The following is a 24,980-nucleotide window of genomic DNA, read 5'->3' as shown; positions in this document are numbered from 1 at the left end:
AATCCTTAGAGTTAGTGACATGCTCATAGAAAACCAAGCAAATGGCAAAAAGTGCAGTTATTAATTCCAAGGAAACCCAAAAGGTGTACAAGAAAAGATTGCTTATAGCCTGTGTGCTTGACTTTGTGGGCATAGCAAGTTGCCTGTGGAGACCGACTTCATTCACACTCCTCAGGAGAGTGTGTGCTGAATGAGGACAGACCCACAGCACCCCCAGGGCGGGGCTCAGTGCCCTGCAGAAGGTAGGCAGGCGTATTTGTCAAGAGACTGTGAACTGCCCATCTAGGGAAGCTTGTCTCTTCCTTTATTTCCTAGCTTAGTTAATGGAAGCACTGGCCACCTGTCTGGCTTCCCTGTGTCTGAGAAAAGTCTTGTGGAGGAGATGGTATCACACAGATAATTACAATACCACAGGTATATAAACAAAGAAGGAACAGCTGGGAGGTTAGGAAACCTTCCTAGAGCAAAACCTCATCTTTGAGTTCCTAGTGTTTAACACATTCTCAGTGCTGAGTAAATGTGTGATTGGTTGAATGACTGGAACTCCTTGAGGAAAAGTGTGGTAGCATCAGCCTTTAAGTAGAGAGGAAAATAGAAAAGATTGTTGGGTCCTGTGGCAAGGAAGAAAAAAGGCTCACGGAACTGAGAGGTGTCCTGGGGACTTAACTGTTAGGTGATTCCTCAGTATTTGATCTTTTCTTTTCTTTTCTTTTATTTCTTTCTTTTCTTTTCTTTCTTTTCTTTTTTTGACACAGAGTTTCTCTCTATTGCCCAGGCTGGAGTGCAGTTGCATGATCTTGGCTCACTGCAGCCTCTGCCTCCCGGGTTCAAGTGATTCTCCTGCCTCAGCCTCCCAAGTAGAGATTACAGGCGTGCGCCACCACACCCAGCTAATTTTTGTATTTTTAGTAGAGATGGGGTTTTACCATGTTGGCCAGGCTGGTCTTGAACCCCTGACCTCAGGTGATCTGCCCGCCTCAGCCTCCCAAAGTGCTGGGATTACAGGCGTGAGCCACTGCACTCAGCCCTCAGTATTTGATTTTGAAGTCTAATGGCCTGAATACCTAAATACTCATGGCCTGTGGAGCTGTTAATCATTTTTATTTTCTGTCCTGTTGGAAGAAAGGTGTTAAGGAAAAGACAGAAGTAATTTATATTTAAAGTAAAGAGAAACTAAGGAGGAACCTTAGTTCCTTAAAGAACCTTTTTTGCTAGACAGGCAACTGTAGAGAAAGGCTTCTCCCTAGCCTAAGGTCCCTGGAAATTTAAACTAACCAAACTAACTTGAAACTAACACCTCACACCTGAATGGACTTGGGAGTAAGACAGCCCTGGGTTAGAATTCTTGTTCCATCACTGTCTGGTAAGGTGACCTTCAGCAAGTGATTTGACCTCTGTATACCTCAGTTTCCTCATCTGAATTATCTAGGGGGTAATAGTACCCACTTTCCAGGGTATTGTGAGACTTACAGGTGACAGTAGACATAGAGCAGGGCCACAGGCTGATAACACACAGGCCCAATCTAGCCGTGTGTTTTATTTGGCTCACAGTGTTTGTTTGTATTGAATTTGTTGCCGGCATTTAAAAATCAGAAAGTTTCACCTAAAAAGTCTTGACTGTCACCTTCCCTATAAAAATACAATTAGGAAACATTGAACTTTATTCCTTTATTAGCAGTTGGCTAGGCAGAGGGAGCTGCCCCATTTCGGAGGGGCTCACCTTCCCCTTTCACCACAGACACCCGCTTCCCACTGTATAGCCTGCGGCCTGCTTCATGCTGGTATGTCATTTGCCTGACCCTTGAAAGTAAGTTCATGCGTAGGACCCATTGCCCAGTGAGTGGTTTCCATCATCTTGAGGCCTGGAGCTGGGACAAGAGGACTTTCCAGAAGAAAGATTAGCATGACTTACAGCACAGACAGTGGTGGTTTTGGCTCCTTGTGCTGGATTAAGGCAGCAGGCACCAAGATGATGACGGTCAGGATGTTTAGATTGTCACATGCATGCACAAGGAGCCATTCTGATTGCTGGAGGGATGATGTCTTTGCCCATACTGTTGCCCACCTCTCTGCTGCTGCGGCTGGAAACCTGGGCTCATGGTGAGTCCTTCCCTCACTTCCATGGCACGCCGTAGCCCAGTTACTCATCTGTGTAAGTTCTTTCTAGCTAGCTCATGACTTCCTTCAGGGTGGTGACCACACGCTTTACATGCTTTATGTCCTTTTTAAAGGCTGTACAGTGTCTGCTTGGAACAGAGTAGGTGCTAAGCAGATGCTGAGCAAATTTAATTTAATTTAATTAAGTGCCGCTTCAGTTACTTTCCGTGCGCAGGAGGCAAGGGATGAAGGCAGTTTTCAGGGTTTTTTTGCCTTGAGCTTTGTCTTTCCAGTTTGCAAAATTAACATAAAACCTTCCCTCTAAGGCATTATGGAGGAGACAAAGCTCAAATAATAAATAAAGATGATGTATTATTTCATTTAAATTTACAGATATACCTGGATCTAGTATATGAATTATTTTTAAAACTCCTTAACGAATTTGGATTTAGGCTTATTTCAAATGCATATTTCACTGCACAGAAGGCTTCAGTGATCTGTTTTGCAAAAAGCAAAAAAACTTTGGTAATGTAAACAGCCCCCCTGAACTGATCTGTTTTGCAAATTTGGATTATTTTCTTCAAGTGTTTACCAGTCATCCTGTGTTTATTAAATTGTGCTGAGAAGAGAAAGGGAGAGAAGTAGAAGTTAACTCAGCAGTCTGTCGGAAAATGATCACAGTTGGAAACAACTCACAGAAATTGTGCTCCCTGGGGCTAATGACTGAGGTGGTCAACTGGCTAGGTTTTTCAGGTTGTCACAAGTTCAGCATTGAAAGGGCTGTGGGGTGAAGTAGCTGTGAATGAGATCGACTCTCCTCAGAGCTGTTGCCCCTGTGACTCTAAAAAAAAAAGTTCAGTAAGATTTCAGGACAGAAGATCGGTATACAGAAGTCCATTGTGTTTCTGTAGACCCACCGTGCACAATCTGAAAATGAAATTAAGAAAACAATTTTGTTCACAATAACTTAGAAATATATTTAACAAAAGAAGTACAAAACATATACGCTGTGAAAACTACAAAATGTTGCTGAAAGTTAAGATTTATGTAAATGGAAAACATCCCAGGTTCCTGGATCCAAAGACTTCACAGTATTAAGAAGGTGATACTCCCCAGACGAATCTACTGATTCCACACAGTCCGTGTGAGAATCCTGACTGACTCCTCCACAGAAATTAACAGGCTGATGCTAAAATTCACAGGGAATGCAAAGGGACCCAGAGAGCTAAAACAATCCCGAAAAAGAAGAACAAAGTAGGAGAACTCACACTTCCTGCTTTTTAAACTTACTGCAAAGCAGTAGTAATGGAGACAGTGTGATACTGGCACAAGGGTAGACAGATAACCGAATAGAACTGAGAGTCCAGAAATAAATCACACATCTATGGTCAAATGATTCTCGGCAAAGGTGCCAAGACCATTTGATGGGGAAGGCGTGGTCAGTCATGAAAGGCCATGACTGTATGGTTCCATTTATAGGAAAGTCCATAATGGGGGAATCTGGAAGTAGATTAGTGAGTGCTTAGGGGAGGGGTGCAGGGAGACAGGAGTGAGAAAGGGTTTGAGGTGATGAGAATGTTCTAGAATTGATTGGTGATGGATGCAGAGGCCTGTGAATGTAGTAAGAAACCATTGACTTGTACAGATAAATTGATGAATCATGTGATATGCAAATTATATCTCAATAAAGCTATTAAAATTTTAAAAAGTAAATAATATCCAAGAAACCTAGCAAGGTATAGCAAATTAAATTATGATAGTTAAAATGGCCAACAGGAACAGTTGAAAAGTTAAAGTAGGATTGATGTATACAAGCTAAGAGAAAAGAAATGAACCATATGAAGAATGATTAAAATGCAACAAATAAATACAAAGGTTTAAAGGAGCTTTGAAACCAAAAAACTGGAATTAAAAAGAATCAAGATTAGAAAAACAAAAAGGATAAAAGGTGAACATGAACAGAAAAAAAGCAGAAAAAGATTTTCAGAAATTTTAAAAGCCTAGAAAATTGATTATGCTGGAGGGAAAATGGTTAAAATAGTTAAAAAGTGATTAAAGAATACTAGCTTAAAAAATGAATAAGAGAAATAAAAGAAAGACATGTTAATATGGCAGAAGCTCTGTTGAAAGCCAGAACTTAAAACAGGGGTAAGAGCCCCAAAGGTGTGAATTTGTGGGCTGAGTAACTTCTGCTGAGTCCTAGGCAGCTCTCTCGAGGGGACCCAGACACCTGGGGAGCGCCCTTTGCCAGGAACTGGCCTCTTCCCCGCTGATCTCCCCCAGGAAGGACCAGCCACTCAGTCCTGCAGACAGCAGGAGCCTTTGGCCTCCCTCAGCGGGGAAATGTGTTGTGTTTCTCAGAAGAGCACACTGGGGACAGGTAGGAGGAGCGTGAGGACTGGGGAAGAGAAGCAGGCTGGAACAGGGTGGGTGACTGGCCACACGCTGAGGGAGAGGCCCTAAGATTTTCTCGCAAGACCTCTCTAAGGTGTAGCTAGCTGATGCCTTTACAGGCTGAGAAGGGAATGCTCCCTGCGCTAGGAAGAGTCGAAGGCAAGTGCCAGAACTTGTGAGCACAGGAAATGACCGTACAGGGTGAGGGCCTGGCAGCGGAGGTATCCATGGGGCCAGTGCAGGGACTGGATGTTTCTCAGTGACGGATGTGGCCTCCTTAAATAGCTCCTGGCTCAGAGCCCTCAAGAGAGGTTCGCTGCTGCTGTTAGCACTGCACAGTTGACACCAGCCCTTCCCATCTATTGATCGCGCTTTAAGAGCATTGGGGAGGCTGGGCGCTGTGGCTTAGGCCTCTAATCCCAACACTTTGGCAGGCCCAGGTGGGTGGATCACTTGAGGTCAGGAGTTCAAGATCAGCCTGGCCAACATGGTGAAACCCCATCTCTGCTAAAAATACAAAAATTAGTTGGGCATGGTGGCAGGTGCCTGTAATCCCAGCTACTTGGGAGGCTGAGGCAGGAGAATCGCTTGAACTGGGAGGCGGAGGTTGCAGTGAGCTGAGATCACACCTCTGTTCTCCAGCCTGGGCGACAGAGCAAAACTCCATCTCAACAACAACAAAAAAAGCATTGGGGACCTCAAGTCAGCTACTAACTCAGCCCAAGGGTTTAAGGAGGTGATTGACTCTGAAGCTGTATACCAAGAGCGTTTATATAATTTTCTAAACCCTTGTAAACCCCCACATGTACTATTGTCAGTACCCTTGTTTCCTTGTACAATTAGTGAGAAAAACCTAAGACCCTGTGGGCTTGTCTAGAGGCACTAAAAAGAGGAAAGAACTGGGTGAGATGCCATATTGTTATCCCATTTTGTGGTCAGTCTTGGAGTGGGGGGAAGTAGAAAAAACATCAAGATGACATTCCAGGCAAGGCTGGCTGGGCATGGTGGCTCATGCCTGTAATCCCAGCACTTTGGGAGGTCGAGGCAGGTGGATCATTTGAGGTCAGGAGTTGGAGACCAGCTTGGCCAACATGGTGAAACCCCATCTCTACTAAAAATACAAAAATTAGCCGGGTGTGTTAGCGCACGCCTGTAATCCCAGCTACTCAGGAAGCTGAGGCAGAAGAATCGCTTGAACCCAGGAGGTGGAGGTTGCAGTGAGCCGATCACGCCACTGCACTCCAGTCTGGGTGACAGAGTGAGACTCCATGTCAACAAAACAAAACCAAACCAAACACAAGGTCTCACTCTGTCTCACCCAGGCCAGAGTGCAGTGCTGTGATCATGGCTCACTGCAGCCTTAGCCTCGCAGGCTGAGCAATCCTCCCACCTTACCCTCCCAAGTAGTGGGACTACAGGGGTGTGCCACCACACCAGCTAATTTTTTTAAAAAATTGTTTTTTTTGTAGAGACGGGATCTTGCTTGTTGTCCATGCCAGTCGCGAACTCTTGGGCTCAAGTGATCCTCCTGTCTTGTCCTCCCAAAGTGCTGGGATTATGGGCGTGAGCCTCTATGTCCAGCCTTGTTTCTTTCATTCTAGTCCTTCTAAGCATGCAATCCTGTCAGTAGTATTTTCTTTCTTTCTCTCTCTTTCCTTTCTTTCCTTCTGTCTCTCTCTCTTTTTTCTTTTGTTTGCTTTTCTCTTTTCTCTTGCCCTCTTTCTTTTTCTTTATTTCACTGATGAGAAAACAGAGGCACAAGTCCCTTGCCCAAGGTCACAGAGCTGGGCAGTGCTGGTGCAGGGATTTGAATAGAGGATCGGTTACTTACTCTGCTGCCTCCCATGTGAGACTGGGCTGAACTCAGGAGGAAGTGGAAGTTGGGTAGGTGAGTGCTTGGGGCCTGAGCCTGGCTGGGACACTGGCTAAAGGTAAAACCAGCCTAGGACAGCTCCCTGGGGCCTGAGGGTCTGCAGATCTGGACTCCCTTCCAGGCCTCCCTCCCTCCAAGCCAGCTTCCATGTCCACTGCAGAAATAGCTTCCACTCAGTCCCAAACATCATGCCTACAAAATAAACAAGAAAATATGCTATGGTTGGCATAGAAACCTTCCACAGCTACCTTTCTCCGTATCCTCACCTTCATTCCTGCCCTCTCCCCTCCCCTTCCCCAGTAGGCCCCTTCTTTTCCACCTCAGTGCCTTTGCTCATACCCTTCCTTTTGCCTGGAACACCTGTCTTCTTCTGCCTTATCAGACAATTCTTAGTATCCTTTACTGTCCCACCCAAATGCCACCTCCTCTCTCTGCTGTCCCCTGCCTAGCCCCATCCTGTCTCTTTCTCATTTCCAAACTCTGTGCGTGCTTAAAGCGGGGTCCTGAGGGTGTTATAGCACATTTCCCAGCATGGCTGGCTGGCCCTGCTAGTCTGCTAGTAGTCAGCCAACCAGAGAGCATGCGTTGAGTGCCTAATTTGCCTCAAGTGTTACGCTAGGGCCCTTGAATGCATTCATTAATTTAGTCCTTACTACCAGCTTATTCTAGGCATGCTGTTAGAATTACCCTCATTTTACCCATGAAGAACTTGAGGCTCAGAGAGGTAAGGAGCTTCCCCATGGCTGAGCCAGAATTCAAACCCAGGCATGTGAAGCCTGAGCACATTGTCCTTCCTATGCTGCCCGACGGCCTCTCTCACACACACAACCTTTTGTAGGGGCAGGAAGCCTGTCTCTTTCATCTGTACATGTTCTGGGCCCAGCACAGAAGAAATGGTTGTGGAATCAAATCGAATTAAAGGCCCCAAGCACTCTCTGATATTTTCAGCCCAGGTGACTGGGTATGACACTTGATCCTCCAAAGCTGTGTGTTTCCAAGGTTGTAGTAACGATCAGAGTTGTAAAAGCAGTAGCAAACATCTACAGAGCACTACCTCCATGCCAGGCGCTGTCCTAAGGACTCTATGAGGAAGATACTATTATTGTCCCTATTTTATAGCTGAGGAAACAGGCCTAGAGGCCATATTACATAGCCAAGTTATACAACCAGCAAAGGCTGCTGGAGGCAAGCTAACACCAGACAGACTGACTCCAGAGCCCATAATATAACCTGTACCACCATTGCCCTGGGGTGTGTGCTGCAGCAACCCCACCTCCGTCATTCAGTGTTCCCTGAATTCTGTGCTTTCAGCCTCTGGCCAGGCATGTGTGTGTGTGTGTGTGTGTCTTGGGCGGGGGTGGTGGGGAGGTAACACTGAATTTACATGACGTCTGCCTGGCTTACCAGTAGGACTTTCCCATTGCTTGTGACCCTTAAAGAGGAAAGCTGCCGTGGGGTTCGTTTGTTCCCAACTTGCTTTTCTTTCCTGGGTTGATCACAGTTGAGAGCGCCATTTTGCCAGGAAGCCAGATGGATTTTTCACTGGGAATGGGAGAAACACAGACTCTTGGTTCCGCCTCACAGCTACTCTGGTTTTTCCTTTACTATGAATCGTGCTTCTGATGGAAATTTGAAATTCTAGCCTAGCCAGGTGGCCTAGTGTGGAAGGCATCGGTTAGATCACATGACCACTCTGAGTGTCAGTTTTCTTTTTCTTAAAATGGCAATAATAACTTGCAGAAGCCACGTGATGAGTAAGTAAAATCACTTCCGAAAACACCGAACACAATGGCTGGCTCATACTAGGTGCTCCTTAAGGAGTCACTCCTTCTCTTTTTCTCTTCTGGGTCTTCAGAATGTCTGAATGAAGTCCATCTTGGATCCTGGACACAAAAGATCTATGTGATTCCTTTGTGTTGGACTGCTAATATTAGCATGCCATGTCTTTAAAATGCCTGAAACTCCTCGTGCCTGTGAGCGGGTGCTGGTTGTATCTCACCTGCCTTTTGTTCCTGGGAAGAAAGCCCTGTGTCCAGGGACCAGGGGTTGCCATTAGCCAAGTCCCCAGTTCCTCCCAGGGGAATTGCTGGTCACTGAGGTGGCAGCTTAAATGGGGCAGTAGGCCTCGCTCACCCTGGATGACGTGCGCTTATTCGGGTCTTGCTCTGCCCCTGTGGCTTTTGGCTTTAGCTGACTTGTAGTCTGGAACAGGCACCTTCAAAAAGGCAAATAGGAGCCAGAGGGATTTTAATAATAAAAACTGAAATTCTGAGCCTGGTAAAACTCTAGAACTGTGGGAAAGGCACACAGGGCTGGTGGAACTCCTTCCAGATGGTCCCTTGGAATCACAAGGCACACACTACACTGTTCCGTCGTTTACCTGCCTAATCTCTTACCGTTCTCCCCACAAGGCTAAACACTGTCACCAGCCCTAGTTTTCAGGCAAGACACTTGAGGCTGAGGGAGGTCAGCCACCTTGTCCAGGCCCACCCGACACAGCAGCAGGGCTCACAGCCAGCTCTGTGGCAGAGAGTCTGGCTTCCCTACCACAGTGCTGGGCTGCCTCTCCAGCACAAGGTTTTCCAAAGGAAAGATGTGCACCAGGCTTAGCTCGGTGACCCATGACTATAACCCTCTACTTTGGGAGGCCAGGGTAAGAATGTCACTTGAGGCCAGAAGTTCTAGACCAGCCTAGGTGACATAGCAAGATCCCGTCTCTACAACAAATAAAAAAAAGATCCGAGCATGGTGGTGTATGTCTGTAGTCCCAGCTACTCGGAGGTGAGGTGGGAGGACCGTGTGAGCCCTGGAGTTCGAGGCTGCAGTGATTGTGCTGCTACACTCCAGGCTGGACGACAAAGCGAGACTTTGTCTCAAAAGAAAAATATATATGTATATATGTGATGGCATGGGGAAAGGAAAATGTGTCTGTGATTGGCATGTTGTGAAAGAGCAGAGCCAGACACAGCTTGGGTAAATAAAACAGGGCTTATTTGCCGGGCGGATACAGAAGAGAGTCAGAGCAGTTGGGATTCACAGCAGATAAATCAGCTATGCCCTGTGGGGCAGGCAGAGCCGCAGATCCCATGGCCAAAATATCCGGAGAGTCACTCCAGGCCTGGAAGCACAGCCGCCTCACGCTGGGCCCAGTTTCAGCTGTGGCCCACCCACAGCACCCACTCTGGGTCATGGGTGCCTTGTGGGTCCTGGGGCTGATGATGCCTATTGTTCTGTTGCACAGAACAGCTCATAGTCCTCTGGCATCGCCCTCAGCCTCCATGGCCAACAACTGAGCCTCATGCTGAGAACCAGAGCAGGGGGGCGCCTTCGCACGAGTCTCTAGGAGTCAAGCCATCGTGACCAGAGGGCAGCTTTGGGGCTTATCTCACAATAAGGGGGGGCCCGCCACCTTGAATGCCACTGATGTTTGTAATGCCTCTCCCCTGTGCTAGGTGCTGGTGGTACTGTTCAGAATAACTCCCCTACTGGCCAAGTGCATCCACTGCAGGCTGGCAGCCTGGGCTCACTGACATCCTAGCTCTGCCACTACATAGCGCCATCACTTTGAGCAAGTGCCTTAGCTTCCGCATCTGTGAAATGGAGCTTACAGGGGCCTGCCTGCCTTGGGGTTGTGGGATTTTATGGGTTAATTCATGTACCGCCCTTGGCATGGTGCCTGGCTCCCAGCAAGTGCTGGGTGGTCATGTTGAGGGATTGCTCCATGCCAGCCTCTGTACAGATGCTGTCTCAGCCATGCTAACATTAACCCCGTGAGACAGAGAACACTGTCATCCCATTTTGCAGATCGGAAAACAAAGAGTCATACTTGGTAATTTCCCCAAAGTCACAGACATGGGGAGCTATGGAACTTGAGATGGAAACACTTCTCTGCCTGGCTCTGGAGCCCAAGTTCATCCCTACCTTCCCTCCAAACGTTTATTCAGGAGGTAGTTGTGCCATTTGTTGGAGGCTGTGATGGAATGGATGTCAGTTGCTCCACTAGTAGAGAGGTGAGGACGGTGAACCAACTTGGTGGGGAGAAGAAGGGTTTTTTTTGTTTTTTTTTTTTGTTGTGTTTTGTTTTGTTTGAAACAGAGTCTCACTCTTGCCCAGGCTGGAGTGCAGTGGTGTGATCATAGCTCACTGCAACCTCAAACTCCTGGGCTCAAGCAATCCTCCTGCTTCAGCCTTCCGAGTAGCTGGGACTACAGATGCACACCTCCAACGCCTATAGCTAATTTTTTGTATTTGTTATGGAAATGAAGTCTTGCTCTGTTGCCCAGGCTGGTCTCAAACTCCTGACCTCAAATGATCTGCCCACCTCGGCCTCCCAAAGTGCTGGGATTACAGGCATGAGCCACTGCTCCCAGCCAAGATCAGAAGCTTTGAAGACTATGAGGCTTTTTCTCTTTTTTGCCCACTGAGTCATGAGTTTACTAGTACCGTTTCTTGCCTTCCACCCGTGTTTATTTTGAGAGCTGTCCTGTGTATCTTTTCCTAGCCAATTAGCCTCTTAAGGAAGCTTAAAAGGAGAAGAAATAGCGCTGGGCCACTGGCTGAGGGCGCCTCAGGTCTGACTCCCCCAAGTGCTGTGTCGTGCTGCTGCTCAGGCAGAAGCCAGCGTCCCTGGCGCCGCGCCGCTCTTCTATTCTCAGTCACAGGGACGTTTTGAATCAGGGGCGTCTAAACCAAAGGTTTAGAGCCTGGGCTCCAGAGCCAGACTGCCTGGTAAATGCCACCTTCTCACTAGCAAAGGGGCATTTGTTTGTGTGAATTCCTTGGCTCCTTAGTGTTCTCATGTGGGACTGGAATGATCACCCTTACCTCCTCAGGCCATGGTGAGGGTCAGTTCATAGGGTACACGGGGAGCCTAGGACAGCATCCAGGATATAGTAATGGATAAATGGTCGTAGTGTTATTAGGAGCCATAGGTTGCTCATGTGAGCAGCATGGTAGGATGGGGGTTGGGAGGGGCTTGTCTAGAGGACAGTCTAGGGGGGAATGGCATGGTGGTCTGGTCTTCCTGTGTGCTGGGTGTGTTGACCACCAGCTGCTAGAGGTGCTGCTTGTAGAAAGGGAGCCTGGCACTGTGACCCTGTCCCAGTGCCCGAGCCTTCAGATAGTTCTTGCTCATGTCCACAGTCCCGAAAGTCTCCTTGTCCCCATACTTCCCCTCCTGATTGCTTAAGCCTCCCATTCTGAAAGAGAGGGATTGCAGGAGAGGGCAGGGCAGGGGCCTGGAGCACAGGGCAGAGCCAAGAGGGACGGCAGGAGCCCCGGCGGGGAGCCAGCAGAAGCAGAGTCTTCAGGCTTGCGCCGGGGCCTTAGATTGCCTCTAATGAAAAGCCATGCCCTGGGGGACTTTCTGATGCTGTGAGGAGTGGAGGGGTCAACACAAGGTTGGTGCCTGGGGACCACTTCTGCTGGCCTCTTGCCCTAGGCTGGCCCCCGTTAGAGTGTCTCCAGAGGTCTGTTGAGTTCCAGGCATCTCCTGAGTTCCAGGCCCTGAGATGCTTATTTGTGAACTTCAACTGCAAGCCACATGCTCTGCCCCCAAAAGAACCTCCTGCTTGAGTGGAGGTGGTTGGGCCTGACTTTCCTCGGACCTCAGTCTTCTGTGCTGTTGGGGATGGCATTTCACACTTCACGGGCAGGGTTCTGTACTAGAGGGCTGGGCTCCAGGGCCAGCGTCAGTGCCCACTCCTTGCCGTAGCACCCAGGATTCTGTGCATCGATGTGCTGATGAAAGCTGGTGGAGAAGCTGTCCCTGTTATTCTTATGACTACTGTAACAAATTACCACCAACCTAGTGACTTCAAACCACACAGATTTATTGCTATCTGAAATGGCTTTCGCTGGGGTAAAATCAAGATGTTTGCGGGGCAGTGTTCCTTCCGGAGGCTTTAGAAGAGAATTCATTCCCTGGCCTTTTTTGGTTTCTAGGAGGCACCTGCATTCCCTGGGTTGTGGTCCCTTCCTCTGTCTTCAGATCTAACAGTGTAGCATCTTCCAGTCTCTCACGCTGATCCTACTGCCTCTCTTTTAACGACTTTTTGTTGTTGTTGTTCAGTGTTTTATTTTGAGACAGGGTCTCACTCTGTCACCTAGGCTGGAGTGCAGTGGTGCGAGCTTGGCTCACTGCAACCTCGACCTCCCAGGCTCAAGCAATCCTCTCACTTCAGCCTCCTGAGTAGCTGGGACTACAGGCACATGTTACCACACCTGGCCGATTTTAAACATTTTTTGTAGAGTTGGGTCTTGCTGTGCTGCCAAGGCTGGTGTCAAACTCCTGGGCTCAAGTGATCCTCCCCGCTTTGGCCTCCCAAAGTGCTGAGATTACAGATGTGAGCCACCATGCCCAGCCTAAGGACTCTGTGATACTACATTGAGCCCACCCAGATAATCGAGGATAATCTTACCTCAAAATTCTTAACTTCACCCTGGCAACAGTGACCCTCAAAAATCCACAATGCCTTAATTTAATCACTTCTGCCAAGTCCCTTTGGCCATGGAAGGCAACATGTTCACATGTTTTGGGGATGAAGACGTGAACATCTTTACAGGGTGGTTGTCCCGCTCCAGGTTGTCGCGTATCACAGGATATCTTGGTGTTCATGTTGGAGACCTATGACCGTGACTGAGTCATTTTTCCCGTCACTTACAAGCTGTCAGGAGCTTGGACAAGTTATTCAACCCCTCTGGTTCCCTAGCATCTTCATCCGAGGGTTGTTGGAACCAAATGAGTAGCTCATGTCAAGTATCAAGAAGTCCCCATTTTTCCTTGTACCTTTTCTAGTTCTTACCTACATATACGTATATCTTTCTCTCGTTATAGCCGTAGGCACAAGTTTGTTATTTTTTTCGCATGTTTTACTTTTGTAGGTTGCAATATAGATGCATCACACAGTGTGATGATTTGAATGCACACACTAGTCCACAGAAAGTGAGATGGCTGGTAGGTATGCCACCCCTCCACCCCCATTGCTGGTTTTTTTGTAGTATGCATAAGATCGCTCTGATGCTATAAAGAGTGCTGTAGTAGATCTATTAGTACTGATAGGCTTTGCCTCTTTTTGAGTTGTTTTCTTGGAATAAATATTTACACTTGGAATCATTATAAAATCCCCTTGAAATGCTCTAGAAGGGTTATACAGCTCGTTTACACTGCTGCCACACCTTATTGGCAGTGAGTATTAGCTTAAAAGGAAAAAGATGCTTTTCATCCTTTTGGCAAATACTGCTCGCGTGCCTCCTGAGTGTGGGCCGTGTCCTGGGTGCTGGGAAGGGAACAGGAAGAGACAGGCGCGTCTCCTGTTGTCATGGAGCTGGTCTCCAGCAGGAGAAGGTGACTGACTATTGATTTAACAGGACTAATAGCACCTCGTTATTCCTTCCATTTGCATTGCTTTCTTCACTCATTCTTCTAAAAACAAAAAGCAGCTTTATGGAATACATTTTCAGGTCTTGTGGCCCAAGATGAGCCATTTTTAAAAGTCCAGACACGGTGATATGTGTGACCTTTGTGGGGATCTCTGTCTCTGCTGACATGTGCTGTGATATTTCAGAACCCCTCACCTCCCCCACGCAGCACTGCTTTCACTCATTGCTGGCAAACCCGTGCTTGTGTTGCCAGGGACCGACGTCATGGTTCGGTGCCTCAAGCTGCTGAAGGAATTTAAACGGAATGACCATGATGATGACGAGGACGAGGAGGTCATCTCCAAGACAGTGCCTCCAGTGGACATTGTGTTCGAGCGGGATATGCTCACACAGACCTACGACCTCAGTAAGTCTTGTTCCCATGCCAGCTTGGATATGGATCCCGAGAATTTGAGTCAAGAAGCGCTTTGCCCACATGTCGAGAGAGAGCTCTGCTATAGAGAATGTAATACAATGGGAAGTGCCTTGGTTCCCCAGAAGGGTTTAGGCTTCAAGGTCAGATTGGAGTTTGAATCCTTGCTCTGCCACTTAGCCATATGATTTTAATGAGGTCTCTGAGTCCCATTTCCTCATCTGTAAAGCAGGCATCTTAGAGTTCTCCAGAGACACAGAATCAGTAGGAAAAATAAACATAGATATATAAGAGGGAGCTTATTAAGGTAATTGGCTCATGCAATTATGAATGCTGAGAAGTCGCACTAGCTCGTCTGCGAGCTGGAGGCCCAGGGAAGCGTCAGAACTAGGGAAGCCGTGGGGGCAGGTCCCAGTTACCTAAGGCTGGAGAGCCTGGAGTTCTGATGGCCAAGAGCAGCAGAAGAGGGGGCTGCAGCTCCAGAAGAGAGAGAGGGCAAGTTCGCCTTCCTCTGGCTTCTTGTTCTGTCTGGGCCCCTGGCTGATTGGATGGTGCCTGCCTGCATGGAGGGCAGATCTGTCCCACTTAGTCCACTGAGCTACACACCAATCTCCTTCAGAAACACCATCACAGACACACCCAGAGATAAAACCTGACCAGTGATCTGGGTATCCCTTAATCCAGTCCCATTGACACCTAAGGTTAACCATCACGTGGTGAAAGTATCCACACTAGCACATTATGAGGATAAATGACATCAAATTAAAAGAGCTGCTATAGGGCCTGGTGCATAGAAAGCACTGAGAAGAAGAAAGCTATTACTATTATTATTCAAAGGTTCAAGAGCTACCTGTTGTTTTCTAAGATTGGTCTGGAGTTACCACAGGCCCGGAATTTATGATGAATGGGCAAAGAAAACATTCTCTCCCATTCCTAACCCTTCCCCCAGGTCCCCTAACTTCTGTGTGGGACATCAGTGGCCTAGTGTCACAGGCGGTGTGGCCTCAGGTTCCTGCAGGGAGGAGGACAGAGCAGAAGGTGAAGTGGCTGCAAGGGATCTGATTGAGCTGTTGGGTCGGCCCAACCTTTCTGGAGGGCTGTTTGGTAGCTCCCTTGACGTCCCTCAGAATGGGTTCCACACAACACAGCTGGGGAAATGCTGCCCTTAACCCTTTCTTTTTTCTTTTTTGAGACGGAGTTTGACTGTGTCGCCCAGGCTGGAGTGCAGTGGTATCTCAGTTCACTGCAGCCTCCGCCTCCCAAGTTCAAGTGATTCTCCTGCCTCAGCCTCCCAAGTAGCTGGGATCACAGGCATGTACCACTGTGCCCGGCTAATTTTGTATTTCTTTTTTTTTTTGAGATGGAGTCTCGCTGTGTCGCCCATGCTCGAGTGCAGTGGTGCGATCTTGGCTCACTGCAAGCTCCGCCTCCTGGGTTCACGCCATTCTCCTGCCTCAGCCTCCCGAGTACTTGGGACTACAGGCGCCCATCACCATGCCCCACTAATTTTTTTGTATTTTTAGTAGAGACGGGGTTTCACCGTGTTAGCCAGGATGGTCTCGATCTCTTGACCTCGTGATCCACCTGCCTCGGCCTCCTAAAGTGCTGGGATTACAGGCGTGAGCCACAGCGTCCGGACTAATTTTCTATTTCTTTAGTAGAGACAAGGTTTCATCATGCTGGTCAGGTGGGTCTCGAACTCCTAACCTCAGGTGATCCACCCACCTCGGCCTCCCAAAGTGCTGGGATTACAGGTGTGAGCCACCACACCTGGTTAGCCCTTTCATCCCTACTTTTTAGCGTGTTGCTAGATCAGTATAGGAACACATCCTAGTCATCTTTCTTCATTCTGCTGCTTATTTTTATGCGTGTACAACATAGCAAAACCTCCTTTATTCAGACTGATTTTACTAGGCAGCCTCAAGCCTTTGGATGCATCAGGAAATAAAGAGGAAGATACTTCTTTTTTTTTTTTTTTTTTTTTTGAGACGGAGTCTCACTCTGTCGCCCAGGCTGGAGTGCAGTGGCGTGATCTCGGCTCACTGCAAGCTCCGCCTCCCAAGTTCACGCCATTCTCCTGCCTCAGCCTCCTGAGTAGCTGGGACTACAGGCGCCCGCCACCACACCCGGCTAATTTTTTTGTATTTTTAGTAGAGATGGGGTTTCACTGTGTTAGCCAGGATGGTCTCGATCTCCTGACCTCGTGATCCGCCCGCCTCAGCCTCCCAAAGTGCTGGGATTACAGGAGTGAGGCACTGCACCCGGCCAAGAGGAAGATACTTCTGAAAAGTCAAAGAGCTTTGCAACCAAGTCTGCCTTGCGGCTCATGTGCTTTACTGCTGGGACTCCCTGCCCACCTCCCAGTTCCTAAGCCGACTCCTTCCTGGAGTTCTTAGTTCCAGCTTAGTAGGATGCATTTAAAGGGCCTCTGAGCGGCAGATATACTCACAATCCTGACATACACCAGCTTGTGACAGCCCAGGAGTAGACAAGCTACACACAGCAACAGCGGGGGCCAGTGGTCTGCGAGTCATTTACTCCAGGGCTGAGGAATACCATTTCCTTTCAAAGTCCTCGCTTGCACGACTCTTATGGGACAGTGCAGTAGTCAGTGTCCACAATGCCTCTGTGTCTATCAAGAAATACTGGGAAATGAAGAATACACATTAAGAAAAGTTCTGAATTAAAAATTATTTTGATGCTTCTTAAAGAGGTCAATTTCATTGATCTGAAACAGTTCATTCATGCGAAAGGGCTAATTTCCTGCCGTTGGGTAAAACCTATTGGGTTCTTGCATTTTAGTATTTCAGCTGTTGATCACCTGACATTTAGTGTTTTAACGTGGGGCCATGAGATAGTAAGCATTCAAACATTAGCTGTTAGTATTACTAGCCTAGTATAGTATATTACTCAGAGGCTTGGGAGGGAAGCACGCTTGGGAGGATAAGGGAGAGAAATGGCGTATGTTTTGTTCTGTCTGTTAATTTCACAGCATCAAAATGTCTGCTGAAAAAGTGGGCTGGAAACTGACTTGTGCAGAACAGCTCCTTTGCAGCGGTTTGGGTTCACGTGTATTGTTTCTCACAGTTGAGCGCAGAGGCACGAAAGGAATTTCCCAAGCTGAAATCCGAGTGGCTATGAATGTGGGAAAACTAGAAGCAAGAATGCTGTGCCGACTTCTTCAAAGATTCAAAGTTGTCAAGGTAACATCATGAGCCTTCCCCCAACACTCGTTGTCTTTGGAGGTGCTTGCAGTGTATTTGAGAACGAGCATCTCAGTCAGAAGACTCGATGGCCTGACATCTGTGTCAAGGAGGCAAATGGCCTCCCCAGGGCTGAGTGCAGTCCATAGCCATGTTATGTCTCGCCTTCACTGTAGTTTCTGTTTGTCTTCACTTTTTAAGAATTGAATGACTTGTCAGCTTTGAAAAGTGCCAGGCATGGTGGCCCACACCTGTAATCCCAACACTTTGGGAGGCTGAGGTAGGGGGATCACCTGACATCAGAAGTTCAAGACCAGCCTGGCCAACATGGTGAAACCCTATCTCTACTAAAAGTACAAAAAATTAGCCAGGCGTGGTGTTGCATGCCTGTAATCCTAGCTACTCAGGAGGCTGAGGCAGGAGAATTGCTTGAACCCAGGAGGCAGAGGTTGCAGTGAGCCGAGATGGCGCCACTGCGCTCCAACCTGGGCAACAAGAGTGAAACTCCATCTCAAAAAGAAAAAGTAGTCAGAAGGTGATGTGGCCACCCCGGGAGCCTACTCCCACATGGGGACAGTCAGCTGGGGCTGGCCACTCTCTGTCCACGTGCTTCAGACAAAGCAGTGCTCTCCAGGGTTCCACCATCCCCACTTGGCCCTCCTTCTTATGCATGTTACTTGCCTGGCACCTGGGGACATCGAGTTGGCCAGCTATGCCTGTCTGGCACTCTTTTGTAATTCAGACCTGTGGTCTCAGCCCCTGACATGCCACTCTCATCTTGCTCACGATCTGGTCATCTGGCTGGAAGGCAGTATTATAGTTGGGTGAGTGACTGCAGCACACTTAGCCCCATCCCTGGCATGTGATAGTACCTAGATGTTACTCTTTTCCTATCAAAGGCCCTGGGAAGAGCCCCTTGCCCTGTTCTAGACGTTAAAATGGGTGTGGATCACTGATGCCCAGTCGACAAATCCTCATGGCAGTGGCTAAGTGGAGCTTGCGTTCCACAGTCTAACTTTTCAGTCTGCATCACAAATGCTTGCTGCGTACTGTCCATTTTGTGTGGGCCACGTCCTGTCCCAGCCACTGGGGCTATATGGAAGGTTAAGTCAGAGCCCTGTCCCTGAGAAGCTCATAGCCTCATAGAGCAGACACACATTCAGGGTTGTACTTCAGAGAAGGATCTCTGTGGAAGGAAGACCTGGGGGATTACAGAGAGGAAGAGCCTGGAGGGAGCATCAGTGGTGCCCAACCCAGGGCCCAGGCAGTAAGACAGGAGAAACAGAAGAAAGCCAATAAGGAAATAGATGCCACAGACCACCTGAACCCCTGTGGGTATGACGCCCTCTTTGCAGTGGGATAAACACATCTTATTCCCTCTAGGGATTCATGGAAGACGAAGGTCGGCAGCGAACCACCAAGTACATTTCCTGCGTGTTTGCAGAGGAGAGCGACCTAAGCCGGCAGTACCAAAGAGAGAAGGCCCGCAGCGAGCTCTTGACCACCGTGAGCCTGGCGTCTATGCAGGAGGAGTCGCTTCTGCCTGAAGGCGAGGACACCTTCCTCTCTGAGTCGGACAGTGAGGAGGAGAGGAGCAGCAGCAAGCGGAGAGGCAGAGGGTCCCAGAAAGACACAAGAGCCTCTGCAAACCTCCGGCCCAAGACCCAGCCTCATCACTCCACCCCAACCAAGGGTAGGGAGCACGTGGGGTGGGCAGGGGCTGCGTGCACTGCACTGCTGGGCACCTGCAAGAAACACCCCTTCAGTTCAGCAAACACCTGCGGTTGCCCTTGGTGCCATCCTAATGAGAGGCCTGACACTGTCACTTGTACCACATCATCATGGGTTTGGAGGAGAGGGTCCTGTGGTATCTCCTGGCTGCTTGCAAATCATTTCTTCGTGGCACGTGTTTTGTTTGCTTGTTTTTACTATTAAAGGATGGAATTTCATAAGCTTCCTCTGCCCCTTCCCTTCCAACAGTCTAAGACTCCTCCAAGTTTTTAGTTTAGTTATAGAAAACTTTTTTTAAATGCATAGAGAGTGGTGCTGATGACACATTTGCAAATCTGGTACCCAGCTCTGAGCCCCCTGGGGACATCGTTAAATGTCCAGCTTAGGGAGGGACTCTTACTGGCATTTTGTAGGTAGAGGCCAGGATGCTGTTTAACATCCTGCAATACACAGGACAGCCCCTGACAGCAGAGAATTACCCAGCCCAGACATCAGCACTGGCCAAGTGGAGAAACCCTGCTGCCGATGAGAGGCCAGAAGGAGGGGCCCAAGCTGCTGCTGGTCCACTTCCCTCACCTTTCAACTGACTCTCAGCAGAATCCTTTGGCCTGTGTGGGTCTGGTCTGATTGCCAAACATGAATGCCCTCCTGGCCTCCCCCTTGATTTGTTCTATCTCTTCCCTCCACCACAGGTGGGTGGAAAGTTGTAAACCTACACCCATTGAAAAAGCAGCCGCCCTCCTTCCCAGGAGCTGCTGAAGAGAGAGCCTGCCAGAGCCTTGCCAGCAGGGACAGCCTCTTAGATACCAGCAGCGTCTCAGAACCCAACGTGTCCTTTGTCTCCCACTGTGCGGACAGCAACAGTGGTGACATAGCTGTGATCGAGGAGGTCCGGATGGAAAACCCAAAGGTCAGTGCATGCAGAGGGAGGGAGCTGTCTCCAAGAAGGAGTCTGTGGCCTCATCGTTTCTGTGTTTAGGAATCACATGATCACAGTGGAATCATCCACAGCGAGAGTGCTGCGTGCCGAGGCCTGCCTGTGCTTCCCAGGCAGTAGCTCTGTGCTTATCTACACACCACTTTCACGCAGCCTGGGCCCTACGCAGAGATTGTCTGCATGGTTATCCACCCAGTGGCTTATTCATTTCCAACAGCTTATTCTTTTCAGTTAGATTTATTTTAGAGGGAAACCTGTATGCCTAATTTAGATCAATGGTTCTTACCCAGTTTTACCCCTTTTCTGTTCATTGGATGCCACAACTCTCTATGGAGTCAGGATTGGCATTTACCCATAGGAGACATTTCGCAATATCTGGAGACAGTTCTCAGTGCCACACTTAGGGAGGGGCTGCTACTGGCATCCAATAGGGAGAGGTTAGAATGCTGTTAAACATCCTACAATACACAGGACAGTGCTTCACAGCAGAGAATTTCCTGGCCCAAATGTCAGCACTGGCAAGGTGGAGAAACTCTGCTTTAGATAAATGGCCAATATCATTTGTCATAAAAAAGAAAGTAATCATAGAATAGATACAATAAAGTCAAAACTGTATTAGTACATTCCAGCCAGTTACTGTTATATATCAAGGAGTTAAAGACACAGTGAAGTCAAACCAGTACTTTCGTCAATATAATTGGAAGGATTAAAAGACAGTTGATAAGGAATGTCTTTCCCATTATGTGATTCGGTTCACCTAATACCATGTCAACACTTGTGACATAACAGTACCCCAGACACTGCCAGTGCCACCCCCTGTATTTTGGAAACACTGAGTAGAGAACGAGGCACCTAGCACGGAGTAGATGCATGGTCTCGGGTGGCTTTTGATGGTGTTGCTGCTGTTTCTTTATGTATTTTTTTAATTAATTAATTTTTTTGAGAAAGAGTCTTGCTGTGGTGCCCAGGATGGAGTGCAGTGGTACGAGCTCGGCTCACTGCAGCCTCTGCCTCCTGAGCTCAAGTGATCCTCCTGCTTCAGCCTCCTGAGTAGCTGGGACTGCAGGTTTCCTCTTCTGCAAGCATATGCCACTGCGCCTGGCTAATTTTTGTATTTTTTTGTAGAGATGGTTTCATCATGTTGCCCAGGCTGGTCTCAAACTCCTGGGCTCAAGTGATCCTCCCGCCTTAGCCTCCCAAAGTGCTGGGATTCCAGGCGTGAGCCACTGCGCCTGGCCACTGCTGTTTCATTCAGCCCTGTAAGGTCAATGTGAGCTTTGGTCTGTGAGAAGAAAGCGAGGCCCCTAGGATGGAGTAACTTGCCTGTGCAGTCCCTACCCTACGCCGCTTCTCCCTTTTTGTGCTTTGGAAGTGTTCCTATGGCAGAGGTGATGGGGCGTGGCGTTGATTTTTTTCTAGACTCTTTCAGGCCTTTTCTATTTATTGGATGCCACAACTCTCTATGGAGTCAGGATTGGCATTGTTTCTAACCAGAGAGGCCGGGCCTTCCAGCAGTGGAGCCCAGCAGCTCCCCTGGAGTCCCGCCTGCCTTCCTCCCTCTGCCATCCCCTTTGCACCTCTGTGCATTCCCACCAGGTCTTAAAGTCCCTGACTTGTTTCCAGTTCAGCTCTTCCTCTCTCTGATGGAAGTCCATTCCCAGAGTAATGGCAGCACCATGGTCCTCCCCGCATCCTTGCTGAGAAGAATGGCACCAACTGTTTGCAGGGAGGCTCTTGGCAGAGCATGTTGCCTTTGCTGTCCAGCAGCCCCATGGAAACTGGCTAGATTCACTCACGTGGTTTTCCCCCAAACTTTTCACCCTGAAGCACGAAGGTGAACGAAAGACTTTCTGCCCCTCTTGGGACTCTTCTTGAATCTTTGATTCTTTCCCCCTTCAGCAAAGAACTGTGTCTTGCCCGGAGCTCCCACAGTGGGCAGGGAAGTGGGCTGGGGCCTGGCCGTTCAGACACCATCACCGAGTGACCTCCTTGGGCACTTTCTCATTTCCTGAAAGTGCTACTCCCAGCTGGGAGGTGGCAAGCAGAACATGCCCTGGGGCTACCATAAGGCATTGACTTGGGTCCAGTGATTCACAAGATGTGTATTAGAGTTAGGATTTCTTTTCCATATAGGGTTCACATTTGGGCTTTCACATTTTGATCCAGTGTTGGGTGAAACAGGTTCATTTTAAGCTCATTAAGAGAGAAAGACATTACAAGAGAAGCAGACAATTTAGCGGGGATAGAAGAGGAAGCACAGATCCACTCATCCTAATTTTCCTCGAGGAAACCTGTTCTGAACTCAAGAGCCCCGCTCTACCTCATGTCACTTTTTGCCCAGAGACTTCCCTGGTTTCTTCCGTCTGGAGTCAGAGGCCCCATCCTGGCACGTTCACTCCCCATGAGACACTGGAGAGTTAGCCACACAGAGCCCTGGTTTCTTCTTCTGTAAAATGGGAACTATGATGATAAAAGTGTTAAGAGTTTTTGAAGAAAAAAGCCCAACAATACTTGGCATGTAATTGTCTGTACATCAGTTTCTTCCATTCCTGTATGGGAGAACCAAGGGGGAATTGAGGGAACGCCTTCCACCTTTTCAGGAGTTGCTGGAGTAGATGCCTCTGATTTCTGTCCTGAAACCAGCTGATCCTCATAAAGTGGTCCGGGGTCCTCTGCTGGCCAATGTCTTTGATTTTCAAAGCATTGAGATGGTAGAGTAGTGGGATTCTGTGTAGGAGAACAGGCTTCTTGGCTTCCCTTCTTGAAAGATGGGAGTAGAAGTTTCTTGAAGAGGGCCAGTGCACCCACAGGTGTGGTGCGTGGCCCCCAAGCCTTGCCGAGCCCATTGCATCTTGTGCTTTCGGTCTCTGTTCTAGGAGAGTAGCAGTTCCCTGAAGACTGGGAGGCACAGCTCAGGCCAAGACAAACCACACGAAACTTACCGACTGCTGAAACGCAGGAATCTGATCATAGAAGCTGTCACCAATCTTCGCTTAATCGAGAGTTTATTCACGTAAGGAGCTGTCTGTCTGTCTGTCTGTCTGCTGGCACTAACAGTAATCCTCCTACCAGTTGGTCATCACAAGCCATGGACACCACTGAGGGGCATTCAAATCTCTGTCCCACTGTGTAGATTCTCATCTCGTTCCTTTGCGGTAGGGAGGATTTAGATGGTCCTCCCTACCATCTAAAGGGATGGAGGAGTATCTCCTCCTCAAAAGGAGCAGATACTGAGGAACATCAGCATGCTAGACAGAGAGAAAATGACTGAGCAGGAAGCAGAAGTCACAGGGAAAGTGCGTTCAGCTTTTCCTTACCTGGAAGATGGTTGCTTCAGAAGGGCTATGGAGACACTTAAGCGAGTAGTAGCATTACTTCCAGACTTTTAGTTCTCCGTGGTGCATTTTGCGCAAATAGAGTCTTCTAGAGGAGAAAAAACAAGAGACACAAGTAGAGCTTCTCTGTTTGGGATGGAGTAGAGGCTCTGAACTCTGATGTGGTTCTTGTAAGCTCCCATCACCACCACCTCCTGGGTGGCATCTTCAACGCTTCTGAGGCACCCAATGTGAGAGCCACTCGGTGAGGAGGAGCCTTACCCTCCATCAGGGACATGGCTTCTTCCTCATACTCCGTGTCTAACGAGGACTGAATGGGAGGGGGTAGGGACCATCTGCACACACTGTCACCTTGTTCGCCTCTGAGCCATGAGAGGTTGAGCTAGGTGCTCCTAATGTCCCTTTTGGCCCTGTATTCTATTTTCTTTTCTTTTTTTTTTTTTGAGATGGAGTCTCACTCTGACACCCAGGCTAGAGTGCATGATGCAATCTCGGCTCACTGCAACGTCTGCCTCCTGGGTTCAAACAATTCTTCTGCCTCAGCCTCCTGAGTAGCTGGGATTACAGGCACCCACCTGGCTAATTTTTGTATTTTTAGTAGAGACGGGGTTTCACCATGTTGGCCAGGCTGGTCTCGAACTCCTGACCTCAAGTGATCTGCCTGTCTCGGCTTCCCAAAGTGCTGGTATTATAGGCATGAGCCACCACGCCCACTGGCCCTGCATTCTATGATCAGTGATCTGGAAAGATCACCATAGTGACTCAGTAAGACCTAGAGGAAGATGTATCCAGAGAGAAGACAAAATGCACTTCAGATCTTAGGGGCTAGTGATAAACCAGAGCAGCCCTTATCTGGGTGTTAGATTAGCATTCGACTTGGTGAAGACAGGTTTCTATCATGGTGCCCAGTTTCCCTGCCATCATGATCTCAAATCGTAGTCTCTTGAGTTGCCGGTGAAAGGCTCAGCTGTGGAGCTGCTGTCTTTGGTGGCTTGTCCTTACCTGATACATTTGCCACAGAGGGAAACAATCATTAACGTCTCAAGAAATCAGTCTTTCCAGGGTGGGGAAACCCCGTTTGATCCTTCCTTGTTTCTATTGGGTACCGTGAGGCATGTCTGTGTTGCCTGGGTTGAGGAAGGCCTTCCATGTTGAGATTGGGAGTGTTATCTGCTTATTTTGTGATGCCCAGGATTCAGAAGATGATCATGGATCAGGAGAAGCAGGAAGGCGTGTCCACCAAGTGCTGCAAGAAGTCCATTGTCCGCTTGGTGCGGAACCTGTCTGAGGAAGGTCTCTTGCGATTGTATCGGACCACTGTCATTCAAGATGGCATCAAGAAGAAGGTAACCAGGGCCTCCCCCGATGCCCAGAGCCAGCCTCGTGCTGTTGGAAGTTTTTGTCTAGCTTCTCTTGTCATTGCTGTATCCTGGTAGTTGCTTTATTACCAGTGACTTGGAATTTCCCATTATGCCTCCTGATTTGGGGAATATGGGTTAGCTGGAAACAGAAAAGAGCAAAAACTTGCTAGGATTGTAAAGCATGTCAACTCCAAGCAGCAGCTGTGCAGGCATCCAGCCCTGTGGTCAGCCTTGAAGAAGCAGAAGGCAGGCAGAGA

General features: G+C 48.5%; 1 protein-coding gene across 4 annotated transcripts in view; it reads left to right on the top strand.

Moving 5' to 3' along the window:
- The window catches only part of GTF3C1 (general transcription factor IIIC subunit 1), an 89,301-nt gene that overhangs the window by 24,015 nt on the left and 40,306 nt on the right, over positions 1-24,980 (top strand). For all 4 annotated transcript variants that reach the window (XM_047434036.1, XM_017023188.3, NM_001286242.2 and 1 more), the window contains exons 7-12: positions 13,998-14,150; positions 17,244-17,359; positions 18,743-19,052; positions 19,783-20,000; positions 22,904-23,040; positions 24,555-24,708. In XM_047434036.1, coding sequence (XP_047289992.1) covers positions 13,998-14,150; positions 17,244-17,359; positions 18,743-19,052; positions 19,783-20,000; positions 22,904-23,040; positions 24,555-24,708 — 1,088 coding nt within the window. The remainder of the gene's footprint in view (positions 1-13,997; positions 14,151-17,243; positions 17,360-18,742; positions 19,053-19,782; positions 20,001-22,903; positions 23,041-24,554; positions 24,709-24,980) is intronic.

This window comes from Homo sapiens, chromosome 16 (assembly GCF_000001405.40).
Source record: "Homo sapiens chromosome 16, GRCh38.p14 Primary Assembly".
Taxonomy (NCBI): Eukaryota; Metazoa; Chordata; class Mammalia; order Primates; family Hominidae; genus Homo; species Homo sapiens.
Note: the sequence above shows the minus strand (reverse complement) of the source record. Positions and strands in the feature narration are given on the sequence as shown.